General features: G+C 40.1%; 1 protein-coding gene and 1 non-coding gene across 13 annotated transcripts in view, besides 1 other annotated feature; both read right to left on the bottom strand.

Annotated features, from left to right (window-relative positions):
- Positions 1–18,159, bottom strand: part of L2HGDH (L-2-hydroxyglutarate dehydrogenase) — a 69,796-nt gene that overhangs the window by 49,578 nt on the left and 2,059 nt on the right. For 9 of the 12 annotated variants that reach the window (XR_007064047.1, XR_007064046.1, NM_001425212.1 and 6 more), the window contains 3 exons: positions 10,891–11,006; positions 10,006–10,157; positions 2,104–2,235 (listed from right to left, as the gene is read on the bottom strand). Coding sequence is in view for 6 of the 12 variants with exons in the window: in NM_001425212.1 (NP_001412141.1) it covers positions 2,104–2,235; positions 10,006–10,157; positions 10,891–11,006 (400 nt within the window). In the remaining 6 variants the exon portion in view is untranslated. Of the gene's footprint in view, positions 1–1,193; positions 1,273–2,103; positions 2,236–10,005; positions 10,158–10,890; positions 11,007–16,719; positions 17,325–18,159 lie in introns of those variants that run through there. The other 3 variants (NM_001425218.1, NM_001425215.1, XM_011537167.4) reach the window with 2 other exon arrangements.
- Positions 7,477–8,170: an enhancer, noted in NCBI's record as "OCT4-NANOG hESC enhancer chr14:50766206-50766899 (GRCh37/hg19 assembly coordinates)". NCBI's record gives its function as "activates a minimal SCP1, AML or CMV promoter by ChIP-STARR-seq in naive H9 embryonic stem cells {active_cell/tissue: H9 hESC(naive)}" and the evidence as "EXISTENCE:reporter gene assay evidence [ECO:0000049][PMID:30033119]".
- MIR4504 (microRNA 4504) lies at positions 7,844–7,935 on the bottom strand. The gene has a single exon (NR_039726.1). It is a non-coding gene; the product is annotated as a microRNA 4504 (primary transcript).

Below are 18,159 nucleotides of genomic sequence, written 5' to 3' on the forward strand. Positions count from 1 at the left end.
ACAAACAAATAAAAAGTGAATTTTAAATAACAATACTATTAATGAGAGTATCAGAAAACATCAAATACAAATTCTTTGTAGATAATAAATATAAGAGACATGCCATGCAAGACTTCCATACTGAAAATTAAAATACATTATGTAATAAATTAAAACAGATCCAGACAAAGGGAGGGATATATGAAGTTCAAGGATTGGAAGACTCCACACTACAAAGATGTAAATTGTCTCCACACAGACATACAGATTCATTGCAATCTCAGTCAAAATCATAACAGGTTATCTTGTGGAGTTTAGCAAATTAACTCCAAAATTTATGTAGAAATGTAAAGATCCAAGAGTAGCCAAGATAATGTTGAAGAAAAAAACGGAAGGCCTTACTCTACCAGATATTCAGGCCTATTAAAAAGCTACTATAGGGCCAGGCGCTCACGCCTGTAATCCCAGAACTTTGGGAGGCCGAGGCTGGAGGATCACCTGAGGTCGGGAGTTCAAGACCAGCCTGACCAACGTGGAGAAACCCTGTCTATACGAAAAATACAAAATTAGCCGAGCATGGTGGCGCATGTCTGTAATCCCAGCTACTCGGGAGGCTGAGGCAGGAGAATCACTTGAACCCGGGAGGCAGAGGTTGCGGTGAGCTGAGATTGCGCCATTGCACTCCATCCTGGCAACAAGAGTGAAACTCCATCTCAAAATAAATAAATAAATAAAAATACAAAAGTTAGCCAGGTGTGGTGGCGGGTGCCTGTAATCCCAGCTACTAGAGAGGCCGAGGCAGGAGAATTGCTTGAACCCAGGAGATGGAGGTTGCAGTAAGCCGAGATGGTGGCACTGCACTTCAGCCTGGGTGACAAAGAGAGACTGCATCTCAAAAAAAAAAACAAAACTACTATAGTCCAAGCTACTATAGCTCATGCTTGTATTCCTTGCACTTTGGGAGGCCAAAACAGGTGGATCACTTGAGCCCAGGAGTTCGAGACCAGCCTAGGCAATATGGTGAGACTCTGTCTCTTCAAACATTTTAAAATTAGCTGGTCATGGGGAGCTGTGATCACGTCACTGCACTCTAGCCTGGGTGACAGAGTAAGAACCCATTTAAAAAAAAATGGCTATTATAATTAAACATTATGGTAGTAGCACAGAAGAGGCAATGGAACAGAATGGAGTCCAGACATAGACCCGCCACATACCTGATATCATAAAGGCAATACTGCAGCACAGTGGGAAAATAATGGTTTTTTGATAAGTGATGCTGACACAACTGGATATCTGTTTGGGGAAAAAATACACCTTGACCCCTAACTTATACCATATATAAAAATCAATTCCAAATGGACTGTAGATCTAAATGTGAAATGTAAAACAATAAAACTTTTAGAAAAACACATAGAATATCTTCTAGACCCTGGGCTAGGCAAAGATTTCTTTTTTTTTCTATTTTATTTTATTTTTCTTACCAAGTCTTTGAATGCATCCAGAAAATTTAACTAGAGCACAAAAAACACTAACCATAAAAAAACAAACATATGCATAAATTGATAACATTAAGAATTTCTGTTAATCTGAAGACAATATTAAGAAAGTGAAATGCTGCAATCCCAGCACTTTGGGAGGTCGAGGCAGGAGGATCAAACTCATGCCAGCCTTATCCGCCTATCGTATAGATCAGACACTACAGCTGCCCTCCTCCAAAAATGTTCAATGGCTCCCCGTGCCTACTGGATAAACTTCAATGTTATTAACATGAATGCCAAACCCTTTATGTGGGCCTAACCCTGCCTTTTCAGTCTCATCTCTTATATTTCCCTACATACCCAATGCTCCCAACCACACCTCACTGCTCAGTGTTTTCCAAACATGCCATGTGGTCTCAGGCCTCCTCTTGTCTTCATGTTGGTCAGACCTGGTATTTTCTCACAGAGAAAGAAATCAGGTGTCCAGAGTTTGTGACAATGCCCTCTTGTGTCTGTCACTTCACTACTTCTGTGACAGGATTATCTAACTGATTTTATATTATTCCTGCCTCCTATACACTCACCCTCAGCCTCCATGTCTCAGGACTAAGCCCTAAATAAAAACATCCCTTTGTTAATCACTTACCCTACAATATGGCTCCTTCTTTTTTATATCCTCCTGCTGGATCAGCCTCAGGCCCGGGACACCATTCTGGAGGCCTTTCTCATATAGGGCCTGAAGTCTGGGAATTTCTTCTTGTTCAACAGCTACTATAAGCTTCAAAAAAAAAAAGGTAAGGAGCATGGATAGAGGTGAATGTATCATCAGCGATGAAAGATAAAGTCAATGGAAAATCATCAACTATTGTATGACCCAAAGGAGGTTAATTTTTTAAAATTATTTTTTCTTCACATATCTAATTCTTCCTTTCTTCATGACTATTTTCTTCCTCCACCAAGAAAAGTTGTCTTAAGAAAATGTTATTAAAACAAATTTTCCCTAAAAATGAAATGTAGCTTCAATTTCCACTTCTGTTATCATAGTCTCTATGTGCATCTTGGCCATAAGCAACTCATCACTACCACATTCTCAAACCCAGAAAGGAGAGAAGCATAAGTTGCTTGGACTTTACTTTTTTTCCCCCCCAAAACAGAATGGCCTTCTTATTTCTTCAGGAAAATGTAAAATATCAGCACATCAGAAAGACAACTGGTACTGAATGTGATGGAACATAACTGACAAAACAATCCCTTTTATTTTTGGAATATATTATAAAGTATTTACAAAACATTCTGTTGCAGGGGGAAAACAGTCAATTCATCAACTTATTTATTTCTTTTCTATTTATTTATGGGAAAAATATCTGAGGTACAGTTTCTTCTTTACTTAAAGAAAGGGGCAAAGGAAAACACAGGTGCATATTCGAAGGTATATTAGAATTCACAAGTCATTATTTCATACCAAAGAGGCAACAGAATTTCATGAGGTGACACTTTTAATCAAGGTATAAAGGCTATTTAAATCAATAAATAATTAACCTTAAAAACAGAAGTGGAATCAAAGGACTCTATCAAGTAAGTGAAAAGACAACCCACACAATGAGAAAAAATATTTGCAAGTCACGTAGCTGATAAAGGTCTAGTATTTAGAATATGTAAAGAATTCTTACAACTCATAATAAAAACTGTAACTAGACTTTTATATCTTGCCTTTTTCACTTATGTCAGGCCCATTTTACTGAATTGTTTTTTAAAATGTGGCCATGCACAGGGGCTCATGTCTATAATCCAAGCTACTTCAAAGGCTGAGGCAAGAAGACCACTTGAGCCCAGGAGTTCAAGGCTGCAGTGAGCTGTGATTGTGCCACTGCACTCCAGCCTAGGCAACAGGACAAGACCCTGTCTCTTAAAAAAATTTGTATCTATTTTTAAAATTTCTATTTATTTATTTATTTGAGACAAGGTCTCACTCCCATTGCCCAGGCTATAGTGCAGTGGCCCAGTCATGACTCCCTGCAGCCTCGACTTCCCGAGCTCAGGTGATTCTCCCACCTCGGCCTCCCTAGAAGCTGGGACTACAGGCATGTGCACCACACTCGGCTAATTTTTTTTTTTTTTTTTTTTTTTTTTTTTAGTAGAGACAGCGTTTTACCACATTGCCCAGACTGGTCTCAAACTCCTGGGCTCAAGCAATCTACCCACCTCGGCCTCCCAAAGTGCTAGGATTACAGGCATAAGCCACTGAGTCCAGCCCTACAATTTTTTTTTCATAGCATCTTTTTTTTTTTTTTTTTAATTTCGCTCTTGTCACCCAGGCTGGAGTGCAATGGCAGGATCTCGTCTCACTGCAACCTCTGCGTCCCAGGTTCAAACGATTCTCCTGCCTCAGCCTCCCAAGTAGCTGAGATTACAGACGCCTGCCACCATGCCCAGCTAATTTTTGTGTTTTCAGTAGAAATGGGGTTTCACCATGTTGGACAGGCTGGTCTCGAACTCCTGACCTCAGGTGGTCCATCCACTTCGGCCTCCCAAAGTGCTGGGATTACAGGCGTGAGCCACCACACCCAGCCTCATAGCAACTTTAATGGTGACAATGAGCTTTTATTCTTAAAAATTATAAGGGCCAGGCACGGTGGCTCATGCCTGTAATCCTAGCACTCTGGGAAGCTGAGGCTGGTGGATTGCTTGAGCTCAGGAGTTCGAGAACAGCCTGGGCAACATAGCAAAACCTGTCCCTACAAAAAAATACAAAAAAATTAGCTGAGTGTGGTGGTGTGCACCTGTAGTCCCAGCTACTAGTGGGCTGAGGTGGGAGGATCACTTGAGCTCAGGAGGTCAAGGCTACAGAGAGCCGAGATTGCACCACTGCACTCCATCCTGGGTGACAAAGTGAGACCCTGTCTCAAAAAAAAAAAAAAAAAAAAAAAAACTTATATGAAGGACATGACTACCAACACTGCAGAAATAAAAGGACTTATAAAAGAATACTATGAACAACTGTATGGCAACGAATTAGAAAATCTAGATGAACAAATTATTAGAAAGACACAAACTTCTGAAACGGATTTGAGAAGAAAAACTTAATAAACCTATAACACATGAAGTGATTGAAAACTTCCCACATTAAAAAAAAAAAAAAAAGCCCAGGCCCAGAGGCTTTATTCATGAATGCTACCAGATGTTAAAAAAAAAAGTAATACTAATTCTTCATAAACTGTTCCAAAAAACAGAAGAGTAAGAATCACTTCCCAACTAATTCTGTGAGGCCAATATTAGTTTGATACTAAAACCAGTGCTCTGGTTTCTCTTCAGAAAGAAAAAATATTTTGCCTTTTACCAAAACCAGATATCGTAAGAAATTGCAAACCAATATCCCTTAAAAATATTAATGCAAAACCCTGAACAAAATACTAATAAACTGAATGCAGCAACATATAGAGAGGATTTTACACCATGACCAAGAGGGATTTATCACAGGAATGTAAAATCAATTTAACATCCAAAAATGTATTAATACACTACATTAATAGAATAAAGGATAAAAACCACATGATCACCTTGATAGAAGCAGAAAAGGCATTTGAGAAAATTCAACACCTTTTCATGATAGAAAACATTCAACAAACTAGGAATAGAAAGGAACTTCCTTAATCTGATAAAGGGAATCCACAGCTAACATCATACTTAAGGGTAAAAGATTGAATGCTTTCTCTATTAGATCAAGAACAATTCAAGAAGGTCCACTTTTACTACTTCTGTTCAACACAGTATTGGAGCTTCCACCCATGGAAATCAGGCAAGCAGAATAAGTAGTTAAAAGACATCTAAATTGGAAAAGAAGTAAAACTAACTTATTTGCAGATGACATGATCCTGCATATAGTAAAGCCTAAGGAATTCATAGACACACACACACACATACACACACAATTAGAACAAAATGAGTTCAGAAAGGTCACTGGATTAAAAAAAATCAACATACAGAAATCAATCATATTCTATGCATTAGCAATGAATTATAAAAAATGAAAGTAGGAAAACAATTCTCCTCACAAAAGCATCACAAAGAATAAACTACTGAGCACTACAGACCAAATGGACCTAACAGATATTTACAGAGAGTTTCATCCAACAGCTACAGAATATATATTCTTCTCCCCAGCACATGGATCATTCTCAAGGATAGACCAATATGTTGGGCCACAAAACAGGTCTTTAAAATTTTTTTTAAATGAAATTATATCAAGTATATTCTCTGACCACAATGGAATGAAACTAGAAATCAATAACAAGAGGAATTTTGGAAACTATACAAACACACAGAAATTAAACAATATGCCTCTGGCCAGGCATAGTGGTTCACACCTGTAATTTCAACACTTTGGGTGGCCAAGGTGAGAGGATCACTTGAGCACTTGAGCCCAGGAGTTTGAGACCAACTTGAGCAACGGAGGGAGATCCTAACTCAAAAAAAAAAACCAAAACGAACAACAACAACAAAATGACTGGGCATGGTGGCTCATGCCTGTAATCCCAGCAATTTGGGTGGGTAGATCACTTGAAGTCAGGAGTTTAAGACCAGCCTAGTTAACATAGTGAAACCACATCTCTACTAAAAATACAAAAATTAGCCAGGCATGGTGGCGTGAGCCTGTAGTCCCAGCGACTTGGGAGGCTGAGGCTGGAGAATTGCTTGAACCCAGGAGGTGGAGGTTGCAGTGAGCTGAGATGGCACCATTGCACTCCAGGCTGGGTAACAGCAAGACTCTGTCTCAAAAAAAAAAAAAGAAAAATTAGCCAGGCATGGTGGTGCACCTGTGATCCCCATTACTCCAGAGGTTGAGGTGGGAGGACTTTTTTTTTTTGAGACAGAGTTTCGCTCTTGTTGCCCAGGCTGGAGTGCAATGGCGCGATCTCAGCTCACTACAACCTCTGCCTCCCAGGTTCTAGCAACTAACCTGCCTCAGCCTCCCAAGTAGCTGGGATTACAGGCATGAGCCACCACACCCAGCTAATTTTGTATTTTTAGTAGAGATGGGGTTTCTCCACGTTGGTCAGTCTGGTCTCGAACTCCTGACCTCAGGTGATCCCCCGCCTCAGCCTCCCAAAGTGCTGGGATTAGGGGTGCGAGCCACCATGCCCGGCCGGGAGGTCAAGGCTGCAGTGATCTGTGAGATAGTGCCACTATATTCCAGCCTGGGTGAGACAGAGACTCTATCTCAAAAAAATAAACAAACAAGCAAACAAAACCAATACGCTCCTAAATGACCAGTGGGCCAATAAAGAAATTAAGAAGGAAATTTAAAAATCTGTTGAAACAAATGAAAATAGAAAGACAACATACCAAAACCTATGGGAAACAGCGAAAGCCGTACTAAGAGGAAAGTTTATAGCTATAAGCACCTACATCAAAAAAGTAGAAGAACTTCATATAATCTAACAATGCATCTTAAAAAACTAGAAAAGCAAGAGCACACCAAATTCAGAATTAGTAGAAGAAAATAAATAATAAAGATCAGAGCAGAAATAAATGAAATTGAAACAAAGAAAACAATACAAAAGATTAATGAAAGGTTGGTTTTTTGAAAGGATAAATAGAATTGACAAACCTTTAGCCAGACTAAGAAAAAGAGAAGACCCGGATAAATAAAATCAGAGATGAAAAAAGAGACATTACAACCAATACCACAGTAATTCAAAAAATTGTTAAAGGCTACTATGACCAACTATATATGCCAATAAGTTAGAAAACTTAGAATAAATGAATAAATTCCTGGACACATACAACCTACCAAGATTGAACCATGAAGAAATCCAAAACCTGAACAAACCAATAAAAGGCAATAAGATCGAAGCCATAATAAAAAGTCTCCCAGTAAAGAAAAGCCCAGAACCTGATGGCTTCACTGCTAAATTTTACCAAACATTTAAAGAAGAACTAATACTAAACCCTACTCAAACTATTCCATAAAGTAGAGGAGGAAATATTTCCAAACACATTCCATGAGGCTGGTATTACCCTGATACCAAACCCAGACAAAGACACATCAAAAAAATGAAAACTATAGGCCAATATTCCTGATGAACACTATACAAAAATCCTTAACAAAATACTAGCAAACCAAATTCAACAACACATTAAAAAGATCATTCATCATGACCAAGTGGGATTTAACCCAGGGATGCAAAGGATGGTTCAACATATGTAAATCAATCAAGGTGACACATCATATCAACAAGATGAATGACAAAAACCATACAATCAGGCCAGGCGTGGTGGCTCACACCTGTAATCCCAACACTGTGGGAGGCCAGTTCAGGTGGATACATAACAAAAGACCAGTCAGCCTTAAAAAAGGAGAAAATCTTTAAGATAATGAGAAATACTTAAGATAATATCCTCCATGTTCATCTCTATTGTCACAAATGGTCCATGCCACAAATGACAACAGAGATGAACCTGGAGGACATTATCTTAGGTGAAATAAACCAAGCACAGAAAGATAAATACTGCGTGATCTCATTTACATGTAGAATCTCAAAAAGTTGAACTCACAGAGGTAGAGAGTGGAATGGTGGTTACCAGGGGCTGAGGGTGGCAGGGAGGCAGGGGTGGTGTGGAAAGATATTTGTTAAAGGACACAAAATTTCAGTTAAGTAAGAGGAATAAGTTCAGGATATCTATTACACAAAATGTTGATTATAGTTAATAATGTATTATATTCTTGAAGACTGCTCAGACAGTAGATTTAAGTGTTTGCATCATAAAAAAAAAATAAGTATGAAAGGTAATGCATATGTTGGTGAGCTTGATTTAGCCATTCCACAATGTACACATACTTCTTGAGACAGAGTCTCACTCTGTTGCCCAGGCTGGAATTCAGTGGTGTGGTCTCGCCTCACTGCAACCTCTGCCTCCCAGGGTCAGGCAATTCTCGTGCCTCAGCCTCCCGAGTAGCTGGCATTACAGGCGTGTGCCACCACACCCGGCTAATTTTTATATTTTTAGTAGAGATGGGGTTTCACCATGTTGGCCAGGCTGGTCTCGAACTCCTGACCTCAAGTGATCTGCCTGCCTCAGCCTCCCAAAGTGCTGAGATTACAGGCAGGCGTGAGCCACCCTGCCCGGCCCATAACGTATACATACTTCAAAACAACATGTTGTACATGATAAATATTTACAATTTTTGTCAATTAAAAAATAATTTTAGGCCAGGCACAGTGGCTCACATCTGTAATCCCAGCACTTCAGGAGGCCAAGGCAGGAGGAGTGCTTGAAGCCAGGAGTTTGAGACCAGCCTGGGCAACAAAGCAAGATCCTGTCTCAACTTTTAAATAAGAAATAAAGTTAAAAAATAATAATTTTAACTTTTTTGAGGCAAGGTCTCACTCTGTTGCCCAGGCTGAAGTGCAGTGGCATAATCATGGATCACTGCAGCCTTGATCTCCCAGGCTCAAGCAGTCCTCCCACCTCAGCCTCCCAAGTAGCTGGGACTATAGTTGTGCACCACCGCACCCGGCTAACTTTTTAAATTTTTTGTAGAGATAGGGTCTCACTATGTTGCCCGAGCTGGTCTCAAACCCTTGGGCTCAAGAACTATTTTCTAAAAAGGAAAAAATAAAAGACACTCAACATCATTATCACTAGGGAACTGCAAATCAAAACTTCCACTAGGATGGCTAAAATAGAAAAGACAAACCAAAATAGATGTTGGCAAGGACATGGAAAATTGGAATCCTTATTAATTACTGGTGGGAATGTAAAATAGCACAGAGCTTTGGAAAACAATTTGGCAGTTCCTCAAAATGTTAAACATGGAGTTACCCTGACAATCCAGCAATTCCCCTCCCAGGTATATAACCAATATAAATGAAAACATATGTTCACAAATAAACTTATACATGAATGTTCATAGCAGCATTATCCATAATAGCCAAAAGGTGGAAACAATCCATATGTCTATCAACTGATGAACAAATAAAATGTGGTATATCCATACAATGGAATATTGTTCAGCCATAAAAGACATGAAGTACTGATTCATGCTACAACAGGGATGAACTTTGACAACATTATGCTAAGTGAGAGAAGCCAGTCACAAAAGACTACATAGTATATGAATCTATTTATATGAAAAGTGCAGAACAGGCAAATCCACAAAGACAGAAAGTATACTAGTGGTTGCTAGGGCATCGGGGGAGGTAGAAATGGGAAGTGACTGCTAATGGGTATGGGGTGTCTTTTTGGGGTGATGAAAAAGCCTGAAATTAGATAGTGGTGATGATTGCTCAGCTCTATAAATATACTAAAAATTGATCTGTGCACTTTAAAAGGGCGAATTGTATGGTGCATAAATTATATGTCAATAAAACTTTTATTTAGAAAATTACATAACGTCACACCATCTTTTTTTAGTTATTCCCTAAGATTAGATTTGAAAAATTACATAGATACAAAGAAAAAAATACATTTTTAAAAAATGTAATATTAAACATCACTAAGCAAATGCTAGTTGGAAATTAGTCAAGGCTCTAATAAAATGCCATACCTTGCCACACTGCTTGTAGGAAATTCCCTTTTGCTGACAGTACTCATAGAGGAGGGCTGCACCTTGTACACATAATTTGGCTTTCAGAGACTCAGGTTTATAATAAATTCCACTATGTATGACACCACTGTTATGTCCAGTCTGGTGAACAGCTACAGAACAAGAGAAACAGGGTAAGAGTAAGTACATGATTCATACAAAACATAAGAGGTAAGAGAACAAACTTATAGTTGAAGCTATTAGAGACCACATCATGTAAAATTCTGCCTGAATTTGTTCAGATCACTGGTAACTTCTTCTAACATCCCTGGTATCCATGTCACATCCCTCCAGCCCATCTCTGATTTCAACTACAACTTTGGTGCACAAACTCACCTCTCATTACCAGCAAACCACTTCAGGGGCCCCCTAGGGCTCTTTGCACTCTGCCTTGGGGCCTCTGGTAACTTTTTTAGAGAAGGGCACGGGGTGCTCAACATCACTAGCGGCAATCCTCAACCAATAGAGAGAAGAGCCGATGGATAAAGTGAGCACAATCCTGGGAAATACTACATTGCTCCTCAGAGGCTCCGGTGGAATCAAGCTCACAGCCACAATCTTGATGTGTTCTCATGTCTTTTCCTCCTTCCCTGTCTTACTTTCCTCACCCCCTCACTCCTGTTTCCTGAGATAACCTCTCAAATAAATAACCTATAGACACGTCCTCCTTGTCCCACACTCGGCTTTAACCTCTCAAATAACCTATAGCCATGTCCTTGTCCCACACTCTGCTTTTAGAACACAAACTAAGAAACTAACACTGACATTCAGCATGAAAGATTCACAACAGACAAAATGAGCAGATGCCCAAGTAAGCCCAAAGAACAACATTGATTATATACATACCTAAATCTTTCTCCTTTTCCAGAACACCAATAGAAAGTGATGGATGTCGCAGGATGAGTGCTCTGGCAGAGGCAAGCCCCACAATTCCGCCACCAACGATGACTATATCAAATGAGCTTCAAAAGAAAGTCATCTTTAAAGTAATTCATATTTACAGTAGACCTCGCCAAACTTCACATGCATAATTTTCATCAATGGACAATTAAACCATTAATTTGTAATCATGAAAACGTATTCGGCGGCCGGTCGCAGTGGCTCACACCTGTAATCCCAGCACTTTGAGTGGCCGAGGGGGGCGGATCACGAGGTCAAGAGATCGAGACCATCCTGGCCAACATGGTGAAACCCCGTCTCTACTAAAAATACAAAAATTAGCTGGGCGTGGTGGCGCGTGCCTGTAGTCCCAGCTATTTGGGAGGCTGAGGCAGAAGAATCACTTGAACCTGGGAAGCAGAGGTTGCAGTGAGTGGAGATCACGCCACTGCACTCCAGCCTGGTGACAGAGCAAGGCGACAGAGCAATGTATTGGGCCCTGTGCTGTTTGGTTTCACATGTATTAAAAAAAAAAAACCCTTAAAAGTTATACTAATCAAGCCTGGGTGTGATGGCTCATGCCTGTAATCCCAGCACTTTGGGAGGCCAAGGTGGGTGGATCACTTGAGGTTAGGAGTTCAAGACCAGCCCGGCCAACATGGTAAAACCCCATCTTTACTAAAAATACAAAAATTAGCTGGGTGTGGTGGCAGGCACCTGTAATCCCAACTACTCGGGAGGCTAAGGCTGGAGAATCGCTTGAACCTGGGAGGCGGAGGTTGCAATGAGCCGAGGTCATGCCACTGCACTCCAGTCCAGCCTGGGAGACAGCGCCAGACCCTGTCTCAAAAAAAAAAAAAAAAAGTTAGACGCATTAAAAAAAAAAAAAAAAAACCTCAAAAGTTATACGCATCACTGGTCAGTAGTATAATCAACTACAGCTTACTGGCAGGCAGGATAGCTGGTTGCCCAATCTGCTCTTTATCTCCATAGCACGGCAGCCAGGCTGGTTACATAAGTGACTGCAGTCATGCGTTGCTTAACCATAGGGTTAGGTTCTAAGAAATGCATTGGTAGGCGATTTCCTTGTGCAAACAGCATAGAATGTACTTACACAAACCTAGATGATATAGCTTACTGTACACCTAGGCTATATGGGATAGCTTATTGCTCCTAGGCTACAAGCCTGTACAGCAGGTTACTATATTGAATACTGCAGGCAACTGTAACACAATGGTAAGTATCTGTGCATCTAAAAATGTGTACATATAAAAAAGGTACAGAAAAAATATGGTATTATAATCTTTGGTATCACCACTGTACATGCAGTCTGTGGTTGACCAAAATGTTGTTATGCGGTGCATGACTATACTTTGTGTTAAGCATAGTCATGATTCTACTACCCAGCCTTTCAAAATTCCAATGTAGTACTCTTGACAATGTGTTAACACATTAAAGCTTTAACACTTTAGTGTGCAAGAATTTTTACAAGTTTTTCTTTGAGAAGTAAACAACTCCGAGAAAATAAACCTTGGGGCAATAATTGGTCCAGAAATGGGCTTAGGAACCACAATCTTTGCCATGGCAAATCCTGATTATACAACCATTTACAAAATTAGGGCCGGGCGTGGTGGCTCACGCCTGTAATCCCAGAACTTTGGGAGGCCAAGGCGGGCAGATCACGAGGCCAGGAGGTTGAGACCATCCTGACTAACACGGTGAAACCCCATCTCTACTAAAAATACAAAAAATTAGCCAGGCGTGGTGGCGGGCACCTGTAGTCCCAGCTACTCGGGAGGCTGAGGCAGGAGAATGGCGTGAACCCAGGAGGCGGAGCTTGCAGTGAGCCAAGATTGCACCACTGCACTCCAGCCTGGGCGACAGAGCGAGACTCTGTCTCAAAAAAAAAATTTAGAACAACCATGTATAATTTATATAAATCTGCAATTCGAAGCTTAAAAGATTACCTTTAACACTGACCTGATAGCCAACAAATATGGATCTTATAGGAACTGTAGACAGAGGGAAATTTCAGAGATTAGGCCCTTTCTTCGAAAAGTGATCTAAGTTTCAATTTCAAAATCCTTAGCAAAGCACATCAATTTGATTAGAATTGCTACCACATCTTTGGCTGTATCTGGAACCAGAAACAGATCCTAGACAACTAGGAACTAACACGTAAGCTTGATAAATCAAATCCTGCATCTTAAATTAACTTGGGGGTCATAAGTGGATAAAGTTCCCTCTGTCAGAGCATAAGCCTTATACTTGAACAGGGAGAACCTCCAGGTGATGCTCAGCAGGTGGTTCTCCTGCAGCAGCTTTAGATTGGATAAAATGGTTGTCAAGGATGGTGAATGATGCCCACTTTTAAAAAGAGAGGGCATAAAAAGAGCAGCACAAGTAAAATGGGATTCTGGGTCCACTACATTAATACTAGTTATTGGCAAATGCCTACAGTGGTCAACTAAAAAATTACTAATGTGATCAGAATGTATTTGGAAGTCCAAGCCTTTAAGCAGGTTTTAAAAAAACATAAGTTCAGTGGATAAAAGGTAAAGCATTCACATTCCACTAGGTACTTACACTGATTTACAGATTGACCCTTTACACAACTTTCACAATAAACAGATGTTTTATGGATTCTAAAATAGCCTGGCTTTTAAGAATTCCAGAATAACTATTGTTAAGATAGGCTTTTTATTTTTCAAAACCTCTATAATCTTCCACTAAGGTAGGTGTTCAAAACACTTACAAATACTTAAGATATTTGTATGTGTATTACTTAATCATATTTTATATACAGTCATCCCTCAATATCCACAGGGGATTGGTTTCAGGACTCCCATGGATACCGAAATCCACGTATGTTCAAGTCTTGTATACGAAATGGCACAGTATTTGCATATAATCTACACACATCCTCCAATATACCTTAAGTCATCTCTGGATCACTTATACTACATAGTACCATGTAAATGCTATGTGAATAGTTGTTATACTGTATTTTAAATTGTGTTATTTTTTACTGTTTTTTCCAAATATTTTGATCCATAGTTGGTTGAATCTGCAGATGCAGAACCCACAAAAACGAGGACTGACTGTTTTGACTGACTTTTTTTTTTTTTTTTCGGTGAGATGGAGTCTGGCTCTGTCGCCAGGCTGGAGTGCAGTGGCATAATCTCGGCTCACTGCAACCTCCAGCTCCCGGATTCAAGCGATTCTTCCACCTCAGCCTCCCAAGTAGCTGGGACTACAGGTGCGCGCCACCATGCCCAGCTAATTTTTGTATTTTTAGTAGAGACGGGGTTTCACCATGTTGGCCAGGATGGTCTCAATCTCTTGACCTCGTGATCCGCCCACCTCAGCCTCCCAAAGTGCTGGGATTACAGGTGTGAACCACCGTGCCCAGCTGTATTTTTTTAATTTATCAAGTTGATATCTATATCAATTACATGGCAGTGTGTGTATAAGAGAGATATCTTTCATACTGTTTTTCTTTCTTACTTTCAAGTTCAACTATGATGCTATGTTTTGCCTTCAAGGCTCATTTTCTGTAAAAGGTAGCATAACCTTGGCCCTTACAGGGGTGGTCTTGACTTCCATAATAATGCTTCTCATCCTTGCTGCCTTTTGTTTTTTTTGGGGGGTTTTTTTGTTTTGGGGTTTTTTTTTTTTTTTTAGATGGAGACTAGTGATTAAATGTTGATGTTCTAAAAGCTGACTCTGGCTGCTGCGTGTTGGTGGATAGCGGGAGTAGAGTCGGATACCAGTTAACAGTGATTGTGATTTGTTGTGGGGCATGTAGACAGTTCTTTTGGGAAGCTTTTCTTAAGGAAAGAAAAGCAGGGCTGGTGAAAGTTTTGTTTATACTGAAAATTTTTTTTTAAAAAATTTTGGAGTCAGGGTCTCACTCTATTGCCTAGGTTGGAGTGTAGCAGCATGATCTCGGCTCACTGCAGCTTCCCACTCCCAGGTTCAAGTGATTCTCCTGCCTCAGCCTCCCTAGTAGCTGATATTATAGGCGAACACTGCCATGCTGGGCTAGTTTTTGTATTTTTACTAGAGACGAGGTTTCACCACGTTGGTCAGGCTGGTCTCAAACTCCTGACCTCAGGTGATCCACCCGCCTCGGCCTCCCAAAATGCTGGGAATACAGGCGTGAGCCACTGCGCCTGGCCCCTTGCTGCCTTTTGATAATTATAACACAAAAGCTTTTGGGGAGGTAGACCTTCCACTTAGAATTATTACCTTGGTACAGATTCCCAGCCAAGATATTGTCTTTGCAGATTATACTACAACTATCAATAAACCCTTCTTATTTTCAAACATAAAACTATCATACTGAATATGCTTTTTCCAACTACATGTGCCACCCTTCACTCCCTCTTCTCAAATCTGAAGAATCACTGTTTTATCCAGTGACACAAAATCATTGAAATATGTTTCACAAACAAAAGCACAAATCTCCAAGCATCCACTATGGAGACAGGTGAACAGAACAATAGTCATAGATGAATGCTGGAGGACAGTTGCAGGCCAAGCTAACCACGGAGGCTGAAAGAGACATCTTTCTCTACAACTCACTTAATCTCAAGTTAACACCAATGAATGGTTTAACAGATAATTTTCTTAAGCTTTTTATGGAAAAGTTCATACCTACACAAAGTTAGACAAAATAGTTCAATGAAGCCCCACATATACATCACCCAGCTTCACTAATTATCAACTCACAGCAAATCTTGCTTCTTCTATACTCTATTTCATCCCCTCCTGTATTATATTATTTTGATGCAAATCTTAAACACCACATTATTTCATCTGTAAATATTTCAATGTTATTTCTAAAAGGCATCTCTAAAAACACACACTACCATTATAGTTAAAAAAACTAACACAAAATTTTTTACATCACCTAATATTCACTTTAAAACTTTTAGGAAAAAATAGGACAAAATCTTGGGACTTAGAGTTGACATCAAAAACATGATCCATAAAAGAAAAAAAACTGATAAAATGGACTTCATCAAAACATAAAACTTTTGCTCTGCAAAAAGACTCTGTTAAGAGGATAAAAAAACTAAGAAATTGGAAAAAAATACTAGTAACTGCATATCTCCCAAAGGACTCATACATAAAAGAACTCTCAAAACAAGCCATTTAGAACGTAGGCAGGCCGGGTGCGATGGCTCACGCCTTTAATCCCAGCACTTTGGGAGGCCAAGGCGGGCGGATCACCTGACGTCAGGAGTTTGAGACCAGCCATGCCAACATGGAGAAACCCCATCTCTACTAAAAAGACAAAATTGGCTGGGCATGGTGGCGCATGCCTGTAATCCCAGCTACTCGGGAGGCTGAGGCAGGAGAATTGCTTGAACCCAGGAGGCCTCTGCGGTGAGCCGAGACCGCGCCACTGCGCTCCAGCCTGGGCAACAAGGCGAAACTCCATCTCAGAAAAAAAAAAAAAAAAAAAGTGGGCAAAAGATATGAACAAATATTTCATCAAAGAGGACAGATACACAGATGGCAAAGAAGCACATGAAAAGATGTTCAACACCATTAGTCAATGCATTGTTCAAACATCATTGCATCAGAGAAATGTAAATAAAAACCACAATGAGATATCACTACGTCTCTATCAGAATGGCTAAAATTTAAAAAGTGATCACCCCAAATGCTGGTGAGAATGAAGGGAAACTGGATTACTCACACATAGCTGGTGGGAATGTAAAATAGTACAGCCACTCTGGAAAAGAGTATGGCAGTTTCTTAAAAAGAAACTAAACATGGACTTACTACATGACTCAGTAACTGCAGTCTTGGGCATTTATTCCAGAGAAATGAAACTTATGTTCATACAAAAACCTGAACATGAATGTTCATAGTAGCTTTATTCGTAATAGCCAAAAACTGGAAGCAGCTTGGATGTTCTTCAACCCATGGTAAACGGTTAAACAAATTGTGATGTATCCATACCATGGAATTCTATTCAACAATTTTGAAAAACCTGCTATCAATACAGGCGACGCCTTGCATGGATCTTAAGGATAGTATGCTGTGTGAAAAAAAGCCAATCTCCAAAGGCTTGTTTTGAGAGTTCTTTATGTATTTTGTGTATTAGTCCTTTGGGAGATATGCAGTTGCTGGTATTTTTTTCCCACGTCTTGGTAGTTTTTTCATTCTCTTAACAGTCTTTTGCAGAGCAAAAGTTTTTCATTTTGATGAAGTCCATTTTGTCAATTTTTTTCTTTTAGAGATCATGCTTTTGATGTCATCTCTATGTCCAAAGATCTTGTCCTTTTTCTAAAAGTTTTATACTGAATATTTGGTGATATAAAAAATTTCAGGCCGGGTGCAGTGGCTCATGCCTGTAATCCCAATACTTTGGGAGGCTGAGGCGGGTGGATCACCTGAGGTCAGGAGTTTGAGACCAGCCTGGCCAACACGGTGAAACCCTATCTCTACTCAAAATACAAAATCAGCTGGGCGTGGTGGCACATGCCTGTAATCCCAGCTACTCAGGAGGCTGAGGCAGGAGAATCCCTTCAACCTAGGAGACAGAGGTTGCAGTGAGCCAAGATCATGCCACTGTACTCCAGCCTGGGTGACAAAGCGAGACTTCGTGTTAAAAAAAAAAAAAAATTTAGATTCACAGTTGCCAAGAGTTAGGAAGAATGGAGAGGAAGGTGTGAATATAAAGAGATAGGTAACACAACAGATAACCTTGTGGCAATAGAATATTTTTATACCACCCTTTTTTTTTTTTTTAAGAGAGTCTTGCTCTGTTGTCCAGGCTTCAGCGCGGCGGTGTAATCACAGGTCACCACACCTTCAACCTCCTGGGCTCAAGCGATCCTCCTGCCTCAGCCCCACAAGTGGCTGGGACTACAGGAGCAAGCCACCACACCTGGCTAATTATTTTTTAATTTTTTTGTAGAGCAGGGGTTTTGCCGTCTCCCTTTGTTGCCCAGGCTGGTCTCCAACTCTGAGGCTCAACCTATCCTCCCACCTCGGCCTCCCAAAGTGCTGAGATTATAGGCATGAGCCAGCATGCCTGGCCACATTTTCATATCTTAATTGAGGTGGTAGTTACACAAATTAATACATATGATTAAACTGCATAGAACTAAACACACACACACACACGAATATATGTAAAACTGATGAAAGCTGAACAATGTCCGTGGATTTTGCCAATATCAATTTCCTAGTTTTGATATTGTACTATAGTTATAT

This window comes from Homo sapiens, chromosome 14 (assembly GCF_000001405.40).
Source record: "Homo sapiens chromosome 14, GRCh38.p14 Primary Assembly".
Taxonomy (NCBI): Eukaryota; Metazoa; Chordata; class Mammalia; order Primates; family Hominidae; genus Homo; species Homo sapiens.